We start from the raw sequence: 11,404 nt of genomic DNA, 5'->3' as shown, positions 1-11,404 counted from the left end.
AGCCATTATCGCTTCTCAGCCTTTTGGCTAAGATCAAGTGATATTAGTACCCACTGACTTTACTAGCATTTTCTATGCAATAAACACATCTCTCTCTCTCTGCCTCCCCTCCCGTCCCCTCCCCTCCCCTCTCCTCTCCTCTCTCTCAACAGAAAGGACATATATTAAAGACATGGGTAGTAGAATAAATTCATTACATCTTAATATCTAAAGTATTTTGGACCAAATTACTTATGTATTTTTATTAGAAACAGTATGTATTTTGTGCAACCCAAAAATTAGGCATTTAATTTTACAAAACATTTCATTATGGTAATTTTAAACTATGCAATAGTAGAAAGAATAGTGGTGAACTTCCATGTATCCATCCCCCAACTCCAATAATTATCAACTCAGGGCCAATTCTGTTTCATCTCTACCCCCAACCCCATTGCATAGTATTTTGAAGCAAATCCCAGAGCATATAATTTCACCAATAAAAATAAAGACTTAAAAAACCATATTATTATCACATCTAAAATATTAACAATATTTCCTTAACATCATCAAACATTGAGTCATTGTTCAAATTATCAATTTTCTCATAATTGCAATTTCTTTTAGAGTTTTTAAAAAATTAAGTACAAACGTTGGGCACAGTGGCTCATGCCTGTAACCACATCACTTTGGGAGGCTGAAGAAGAGGGAGGATTGCTTGAGGCCAAGAGTTTGAGGCTGCAGTCAGCTATGATCATACCACAACTTTAGAGGTTGTAAAAAAGGGACACTCTAATTCTATCATTCCTTTGTCATTTAGCAGCTGGATTATTCCTATAAAGAGGAACTTCATATCATGTACTATGTAGTTATTCAGGTATACAGTTCACATAGGAATGTCAGGAAAAAAATTTATTTACCAGTTTTCAACTTAACATCCCAATTATCTCTTAAACATGACCAATTTTTGAGCATCATTATGAACTCATAGATTTAAACATGTTTGATGTGCTTCAATCTATTGCTATTGTTATCCCTACTGATATTCAAACTGTCACATCTTTGGCCATTGGGAGCCTCTTTAAGTTGGCTCTTGAGAGTCCTCTTCTTTTGGAATGATCCTATTAGTCTTCAATAGCTTGTTATCTATATGACAAGGTGCTTCAGGTTTCTCTTGTTCATTTCCTGACCCAGACCTTAAATCAGCCATTTCTCCAAGGAACCTGGCTCTTTTTAATGGGAGATGGTATTTCAAGACCTTGATCAGGCATCTGGTGGTGTTCACTGCTCCTGGGTTGGTTAGACATTGACTTTGAAGTTTTGAATTTCTGACATACTAGTGGCTAACAGTGTGGGCTGCAGAGATAGACTGCCTGGATTTGAATCAGTGCACTACCTCTTATTAGGTATGCAACACTGGGCCAGTTTATAAATTTATCTGTGCCTCAGATTCCTCAAATGTAAAATGAGAACAATAACAGTACCTAAATTTGTAGGACCCTGGTGAGGTTTGTAAAAATTGATATATAATAACTGTACATATTTATGGGGTACATAGTGATATTTTGACATATAGTGTATATATATAGTGCATGTGTATACATAGGCATAGTGTATATGTATAATGTATAGTGTTCAGATCAGGGTAATTAACATATACTTCATCTCAAATATTTATCATCTCTTTGTGTTGGGAATATTCAATACCTTCCTTCTAGCTATCTGAAACTATATTATTGTTATAGTCATCCTATAGTGGTATAGAACATGAGAATTTATTCCTGCTATCTAGCTGTAATTTTCTATCCTTTAACAAATATCTTCCTATCCCCTCCTTCCCCAAACTCGTCCTACCCTTTAGTATCCTCTTCTCTCCTTTTTACTTCTATAAGATCAAGTTTTTAAAGCTTCTGCATGTGAGAACATGCGTTGTTTAACCTTCTTTTCTTGGCTTATTTCACATAACATAATGTTCCCCAGTTACATATGTGTTGCTGAGAATGACAGGATTTGATTTGACTTGATTTTTTTTATTATACTTTAAGTTCTAGGGTACATGTGCACAACTTGCAGGTTTGTTACATATGTATACATGTGCCATGTTGGTGTGCTGCACCCATTAACTTGTCATTTACATTAAGTATTTCTCCTAATGTTATCCTTCCCCCTTCCCCCCACTCCATAACAGGTCCCAGTGTGTGATGTTCCCCACCCTGTGTCTAGGTGATCTCATTGTTCAATTCCCACCTGTGAGTGAGAACATGCAGTGTTTGGTTTTCTGTCCTTGTGATAGTTTGCTCAGAATGATGGTTTCCAGCCTCATCCATGTCCCTACAAAGGACATGAACTCATCCTTTTTTATGGCTGCAAAGTATTCCATAGTGTATATGTGCCACATTTTCTTAATCCAGTCTATCATTGATGGACATTTGGGTTGGTTCCAAGTCTTTGCTATTGTGAATAGTGCCACAATAAACATACGTGTGCATGTGTCTTTAGAGCAGCATGATTTATAATCCTTTAGGTATATGCCCAGTAATGGGATGGCTGGGTCAAATGGTATTTCTAGTTCTAGATCCTTGAGGAATCACCACACTGTCTCCCACAATGGTTGAACTAGTTTACAGTCCCACCAACAGTGTAAAAACGTTCCTATTTCTCCACAGCCTCTCCAGCACCTGTTGTTTCCTGACTTTTTAATGATCGCCATTCTAACTGGTGCAAGATAGTATCTCATTGTGGTTTTGATTTGCATTTCTCTGATGGCCAGTGATGATGAGCATTTTTTCATGTGTCTGTTGGCTGCATAAATGTCTTCTTTTGAGAAGTGTGTGTTCATATCCTTTGCCCACTTTTTGATGGGGTTATTTGATTTTTTCTTGTAAATTTGTTTAAGTTCTTTGTAGATTCTGGATATTAGCCCTTTGTCAGATGGGTAGATTGTAAAAATTTTCTCCCATTCTGTAGGTTGCCTGCTCACTGCAACCTCTGCCTCATCGGTTCAAGCGATTCTCCTGGCTCAGCCTCCCGAGTAGCTGGGACTACAGGTGTGTGCCACCACGCCCAGCTAATTTTTGTATTTTTAGTAGAGACAGGGTTTCACCATGTTGGCCAGGATAGTCTCAATCTCTTGACCTTGTTATCCGCCCACCTCGGTCTCCCAAAGTGCTGGGATTACAGGCACGAGCTACTGCACCTGGCTGATTTTATTCTTTTTTTCTGGCTAAATAGTATTCCATTGTCCATATATGCCACATTTTCTTCATCCATTCATCTATTGTTAGACACCTAGGTTGATTCCATATCTTGGCTATTGTGAATAGTGATGCAATAAATATGGGGATGCAGATATCTCTTTGATATGCTTATTTCCTTTTATTTGGATAAATGCCCCAGTAGGATTGCTGGATCACATAATTCTATTTGTAGTTTTTAAAGGAAACGCCATAGTGTTCTCCGCAGTGTCTGTACTAATTTGCATTCCCACCAACAGTGTAAGAGTTCCGTTTTGTCCACATCCTAAAGGGCATTTCTTATTTTTTTCTCTTTTTGATAATAGCCATCCTGAGGTGAGATGATACTTCATTGTGGTTTTGATTTGCATTTCCCTGATGATTAAGTGATGTTGAACATTTTTCATATATTTTTTGGCCATTTGTATGTCTTCTTTTGAGAAATGTCCAGATCATTTTCCCACTTTTAATTGCATTGTTCATTTTTTTGCTGTTGAGACATTTGAGTTCCTTGTATATTCTGGATATGAATTCCTTGTTGAATGAATGGTTTGCAAATATTTTATCCCATTCTGCAGGTTGTCTTTTCGTTCTGTTGTTCCCTTTGCTGCACGGAAGCTTTTTAGTTTGGTATAATACCATTTGTTTATTTTTTGCTTTTGTTGTCTGTGCTTCTGAGGTCTTATTCATAAAATATTTCCCTAGACCAATAGTCTGAAACATTTCCTCTATGTTTTATTCTAGTAGTTTTATAGTTTCAGGTCTTATATTTAGGTCTTTAATCCATTTTGAGTTGATTTTTTTTTTTTTTTTTTTGAGACGGAGTCTGGCTCTGTTGCCCAGGCTGGAGTGCAGTGGTGTGATCTCGGCTCACTGCAAGCTCCGCCTCCTGGGTTCATGCCATTTTCCTGCCAAACAGCCTCCCGAGTAGCTGAGACTACAGGCGCCAGCCACCATGCCCAGCTAATTTTTTGTATTTTTAGTAGAGATGGGGTTTCACCGTGTTAGCCAGGATGGTCTCAGTCTCCTGACCTCGTGATCTGCCCACCTCTGCCTCCCAAAGTGCTGGGATTACAGGCGTGAGCCACCGCGCCTGGCCTTGAGTTGATTTTTTTATAGGGTGAAAGATGAGAGTCTAGTTTCATTCTTCGACATATTGATATCATTTTCTCAGCAGCATTTGTTGAAGAGACTGCTCTGTCCCCAAAAAGTGTTCTTGGCACATTTGCCAAAAATTAGTTGGCTGTAGATATGTGATTAATTCCTGGTTTCTCTATTCTGTTGCATTGATTTATGTGTCTGTTTTTATGCCAGTACAAGGCTGTTTTGGTTACTACAGCTTTGTACTATATTGTGAAGTTAGGTAGTGTGATTCTTCTGGCTTTGTTCTTTCTGCTCAGGATTGCTTTGGCTATTTGGGGTCTTGTGTGGCTCCCTACAAATTTTAAGACATTTTTCTATTTCTGTGAAGGATGTCATTGATATTCTGATAGGGATTGCACTGAATCTGTAGATTGCCTTAGGTAGTATGGTCATTTTACAATATTAATTCTGACCCACGAGCATGTAATGTCTTTCCATTCATTTGAATCCTCTTCAATTTATTTCATCAGTATTTTGTAGTTTTCCTCATGATGTCTTTCACCTCCTCAGTTAAATTTATTCCTCGATATTTAAAAATTTTGGGTAGCAATTTAAATGGGATTTCCTTCTTGACTTCCTTTTTGCCTAGTTTTTTGTTCAAATATAGAAATGCTACTAATTGTTGTATTTCTATTCCTAGTTTGTTGACCGTTTTATTTATTATGGAAGGGGGCTAAATTTTGTCAAAGACTTTTCCGGCATCAATTGACATGATTGCATGCTTTCCTCCCTTCATTTGTTAATATGGTGTATTATATTAATTGAGTTTCCAATATTAAACCACCCTTGCATCCCAGGAATAAATCCCACTTGATCATGGTGTATATTCCTTTAATGTGCTGCTGAATTTGATTCGCTAGTAGTTTGTTGAGGATTTTTGCATCAATATTCGTAAGAGATATTGGTCTGTTGTTTTTTCCTGTAGTGTTTTTGTCTGGCTTTGATGTCAGGTTAAGGCTGGCCTCATAGGATGAGTTAGAAAGTGTTACCTTATCTTGGCCGGGTGCTGTGGCTCACGCCTGTAATCCTAGCACTTTGGGAAGCCGAGGCAGGTGGATCACGAGGTCAGGAGATTGAGACCATCCTGGCTAACACGGTGAAACACCGTAGCTACTAAAAAAATAAAAAAATTAGCCGGGCATGGTGGTGGGCACCTGTAGTCCCAGCTACTCCGGAGGCTGAGGCAGGAGAATGGCATGAACCCAGAGCCTGCAGTGAGCCAAGATCACACCACTGCACTCCAGCCTGGGTGGCAGAGCGAAGACTCCGTTTCAAAAAAAAAAAAAAAAAAGTGTTACCTTATCTTCAATTTTTTGCAAAAGTTTGAGAACTGGAATTGCTTTTTCTTTAAATGCTTGGTAGAATTAACTAGTGAAGCCATCAGGTCTTGGGCTTTTGTCAGAGACTTTTGATTTCTGACTCAATCTCATTATTAGTTAATAGTACAGGACAATTCTCTCGGTGGCCTTCGAGCAACCTAGTTCTCTCCTGTTTCTCACTCATTCTTATTTCTTAAGAATAAGTGTATAGGCAAGGCAAGGTGGCTCACGCCTGTAATCCCAACACTTTAGGAGGCCAAGGCAGGTGGATCACCTGAGGTCAGGAGTTCAAGACCAGCCTGGCCAGCATGGAGAAACCCCATCTCTACAAAAATACAAAAATTAGCCGGGCATAATGGCGGGTGCCTATAATACCAGCTACTTGGGAGGCTGAGGTGAGAGAATCACCTGAACCCAGGAGGCAGAGGTTGCAGTGAGCCCAGATCGTGCCATTGCACTCCAGCCTAGGTGACAGAGTGAGACTCCATCTCGGGGGGAAAAAAAAAAGATTAACTGTAGAATATACTGGGAATGCAACATTCCAAGATAAAGGAGATGGGTAGAAAAGCCCAGGCTCTCTTCCTGTCCCCCATAGAAACAGGATGCCCTTTAACATTTTAGCCCACTCTGTCATGTTGTTCCCATGGTTCCCATGGTATAAAACCCAGAGGGGCCAGGCACGGTGGCTCATGCCTGTAATCCCAGCACTTTGGGAGGCCCAGGTGGGCAGATCACTTGAGGTTTGGAGTTCGAGACCAGCCTGACCAACATGGTGAAACCCCGTCTCTACTAAAAATACAAAAATTAGCCAGGTGTCATGGCGGGTACTTGTAATCCCAGGTGCTCGGGAGGCTGAGGCATGAGAATCACTTGAACCCGGGAGGCAGAGGTTGCAGTGACCCGAGATTGCGCCACCAGACTTCAGCCTGGGAGACAGAGCGAGACCATGTCTCAAAAATAAATAAATAAATAAATAATAAAACCCGGGGAGATGGGCAGCTTTCTGGGGTCTCTCAGGTGCAGTGCACATGGGCACATGACACACAGGCCTCCATCCACCCCGGGTAGCTTTCCTGAGTGTTTCAGATGGCTTGTCCTGAATCCTAGTCTTCTGTTGTCCCTTGAGGTCTAACTGTAAGTAACAAATTCACTGCATTTAACTTGCTTTGTGTGTATTCCATCTAACCAGACTTGTGAAAGTAAACAATGTGCAATGAAATGGCTTTGACCAGATTTCCATTTCTTCATGATTTAGTCCTAGTCTTAGTATGTTTATGTTGCTAGTATTTTGTCCATTTCATTTAGTTTATCCAATTTGTTGGCATACACTTATGTAAGTGTTTGGTTAAAGAACAACTTTTTGTTTCATTGATTTTCTCTATTGTTTTTCTATTCATTATTTTATCTCTGCTCTCATCTTCATGATTTCCTTCCTTCTGATAACTTTGGGTTGAGTATTTATTTATTTGAGAGATGGGGTCTCGCTCTGTTGCTTACGTGGAGTGCAGTGGCATGATCATAGCTCACTGCCTGCAACTCCTGGGCTCAAGGGATTCTCCTGCCTCAGCCACCTGAGTAGCTGGGACTGTAGGCCTAAGCCACCATGCCTGGTTAATTTTTCAATTTTTTGTAGAGACAAGGTCTTTCTTGGTTGCCCAGGTGAGTTTTGAAATACTGGCTTCAAGTGATGCTCCTACCTTCACAATCTCAAAGTGGTAGGATTACAGGCATGAGCCACTGCGCCTGGCCTTGTTCTTTTTCTAGTTCCGTAAGTTGTAAAGTTAAGTTGTTGATTTTTTTTTTTTTTAAGGCGGGTCTCACTCTGTCGCCCAGGTGCTAGAGTGCAGTGGCATAATCATAGCTCACTATAGCCTCAAACTTCTGGGCTCAAGCAATCCTCCCCCTCAACCTCCCTAGTAGCTAGGACTAGAGGTGCCCACCATCACACCTATCTAATTTTTAAATTTTTGTACAGACAGGGTCTCACTATGTTTCCCAGGCTAGTTGTGAACTACTGGCCTCAAGTGATCCTCCTACTTTGGCCTCCTAAAGTTCTGGGATTATAGCCATGAGCCACTATGCTCAGCCTTGCAATTTCTTAAAATAAGACAACAATGAAGATTGCCCCATTGATTGACTCTTCCTTTCACAAAGATTTCTCAGGCTGGGCACAGTGGCTCACACCTGTTATCTCAGCACTTTGGGAGGCCGAGGCGGGTGGATCACCTGAGGTCAGGAGTTCGAGACATGCCTGGCCAACATGGTGAAACCCCATCTTTACTAAAAATACAAAATTAGCTGGGCGTGGTGACACGTGCCTGTAATCCCAGCTGCTCAGGAGGCTGAGGCAGAAGAATCGCTTGAACTGGGGAGGCAGAGGTTGCAGTGAGCTGGGACTGCACTCCAGCCTGGGCAACAGGAGCAAAACTCTGTCCCAAAAAAAAAAAAATTTCTCTGTAGCATGCAATATGCAGTGCCATTTGATAGCACTTTACCCCCGTGGAACTTTTTACAAAATTTGAGTTGGTCTTCTCAAAACTTGCCAGTGCTTTATCAACTCAGTTTATGTAATATTGTAAATCCTTTGTTGCCATTTCAACAATATTCACAGCATCTTCACCAGGAGCAGATTGCATCTCAAGAAACCATTTTATTTGCTCGTCCATAAGAAGCAACTCCTTATCTGTTCAAGTTTTATCATGAGACTACAGCAATTCAGTCACATCTTCAGGCTCCACTTTTAATTCTAGTTGTCTTGGTTGGAGGTTAAAATATCAACATTCTTTTTTTAAGAATATTGTTTTTTAGTTAATTCTACCAAACATTTAAAGAAGAAGCAATACCAGTTCTCAAACTTTTGCAAAAAATTGAAGGTAAGGTAACACTTTTTTTTTTTTGAGACAGAGTCTTGCTCTGTTGCCCAGGCTGGAGTGCAGTGGTGCGATCTCGGCTCACTGTAAGCTCCGCTTGCCAGGTTCACGCCATTCTCCTGCCTCAGCCTCCCGATTAGCTGGGACTACAGGCACCTGCTACCACGCTCGGCTAACTTTTTGTATTTTTAGTAGAGATGGGGTTTCACCATGTTAGCCAGGATGGTCTTGATCTCCTGACCTCGTGATCCACCCACCTCGGCCTCCCAAAGTGCTGGGATTACAGGCGTGAGCCACCAAATATCAACATTCTTAATGGCATCTAAAATGGCGACTCCTTTTCAGCAGGTTTTCAATTTACTTTGCCCAAATCCATCAGAGGAATCTCTATCTATGGCAGCTACAGCCTTATGAAATATATTTCTTAAATAACAACACTTGAAATTCAAAATGACTCCTTGATCCATGGGCTGGAGTGGATGTTGTGTTAGAAGGCATGAAAACAATAATCTCCTTATATGTCTCCGTCAGAACTCTTGGATGAACAGGTATACTATCAATGAGCAGTAACAGTATGAAAGGAATCTTTTTTTCTGAGCAGTAGGTCTCAACAGTGGGCTTAAAATAGTCATCCATGCTGTAAACAGATGTGCTGTCATCCAGTGTATTAGTCAGGGTTCTCTACAGGGACAGAACAGGATAGATGTATATATGAAGGGGGGTTTATTAAGGAGTATTGACTCACACGATCAAAAGGTAAAGTCCCAAGATAGGCCATCTGCAAGCTGAGGAGTAAGGAAGCCAGTCTGAGTCCCAAAACCTCAGAACCACCACGCCCCCCTAATTTTTGCATTTTTAGTAGAGACATGGTTTAGCCATGTTGGCCAGGCTGGTCTTGAACTCCTGACCTCAAGCAACCCACCCACCTTGGCCTCCCAAAGCACTGGGATTACAGGAGTGAGCCACCATGCTCCGCCAAAAACTAGACATTTTAATCTAATGTGGTAACTCTGGATATCAGATTTTCCCCATTCCTCAGAGTTTCTATTTCTTTCATTGTTTAGGCTGTGTCTGTCCCAAGAATCAGCATGAAATATAAACTTTTCTACTCAATCCTTTTCTAATCCTGCACCTCCCCTCAGCGTACATGGTGATTTTATAGTTTCCCCATATATGCAGATGCTTTTGAATGTCCTAGTCTTCAATGTCTTGCTCCCAAAAGGGGTTAAAAGAGAAAAATGAAGGAGGAAAAAATCAAGCTGTGTGCAAACTGCTCCAGAAATATGTGCACAGCTGTCGCCATAGGACTGAGGGGTGAGGAACTGGTAGTTACTACCGTCCTAAGAGTTGAAATTGACCAAAATTAACTACAATTTATCATCTTCCCCTGGAAGTTGCAAAATTTCAACAGACTCCAGATTCCAAAATAGTTGCATCAGATAGATTCTGCCAATGCAGCTGCTGTCTAGGCTGGGAGACAGATTTCTGGTGCTTTCTATGCTGCCATTTTCTCCAAATCCTCTCTCCATTCTCTCTTTTTTTTTGCAGTCATAGAATTTAGTTTTGGTCAGGGCATATGCTTACTGAGAATAAAAACTACACATCCCAACCTTTCTTGCAGCTAGCTATGACGAGGTGGCCAAGTTTTGGCCAGTGGGCTGTAAGTGAAAGTAGTAGTACACATTTTAAAAGTGTCTGTAAAAGGGTGCCTTTCTACTATTCCAACTTTATGCTGAATGTGTAACGGGTGACTGGATTTTGCGCAGCCGTTTTGGACTATGAAGAAGATACATGTTTATGTCAGAGAAACAAGAGGGAAGGAATCTGGGCTCTTGACATCACCGGGTGCCACACCAGTCCTGAACTAACTATAGTTAGGCTTCTTTTTAAGTGAGAAATACATTTCTGTTTTGTTTAACCACTATTGTTTTGGTGATTTCTATTATAAACAATTGATCCTAATCCCAATTAAGGTATTCAACTCATTTGCTGGCCCAGAAAGCAATTTTTTAAAAATCAAGAAATAGCTTTGTTGTGACATCTTTTTTTTTATCCACTCACTAAACAAACGTCCAACAGGGCTGTAATCTGGAGTTTAGACATGTTAGGCAGAATTCATAAGGGAGAGATGACATTATTAGACATGCGAAGGCTGAATCAGGAAGGTATCTTGTTATAGAAAACAGCATCAGTGATTGTCTTAGTCATTCGAGATGCTATAACAAAATACCACAAACTGAGCGGCTTATAAACAACAAAAATTTATTTCTCATAGTTTTGGAGGCGCCTTCTCACTGTGTCCTCACATGATGGAAAGACTGAAGAGCTCCCTTGGAACTCTTTTATAAGGGCACCAATCCCATTCATGGGAGCTGTCCCTGCATTACCTAATCACCTCCCAAAGGCCCACCTCTTAATACTACCATACTGAGGGTTTGGATTTTAACATACTAATTTGAGGGGGCACAAACATTCATAAGCAGTGATCCTGGGGTGGTCCCAAGTAAAGATGTCTCAACTTATGAGAAACCCTAAGGTTATAACCAGAAGATGTTAACTTAAAATAAGGATTTGAAATCTCAAGGAATTACTGAATTCTCAATAATGTCAGTATCTGAAAACAAATTTTTTTTTTTTTTTTGATATGGAGTCTTGCTCTGTCGCCTAGGCTGGAGTGCAGTGGTGCCATCTCGGCTCACTGCAAGCTCCACCTCCCAGGTTCACGCCATTCTCCTGCCTCAGCCTCCCGAGCAGCTGGGTCTACAGACGCCTCAACCTCGCCCGGCTAATTTTTTGTATTTTTAGTAGAGTTGGGGTTTCACCGTGTTAGCCAGGATGGTCTCAATCTCCTGACCTGGTGATC

Source organism: Homo sapiens, chromosome 1 (assembly GCF_000001405.40).
Source record: "Homo sapiens chromosome 1, GRCh38.p14 Primary Assembly".
Lineage (NCBI taxonomy): Eukaryota > Metazoa > Chordata > Mammalia > Primates > Hominidae > Homo > Homo sapiens.
This window is presented reverse-complemented; position numbering follows the sequence as displayed.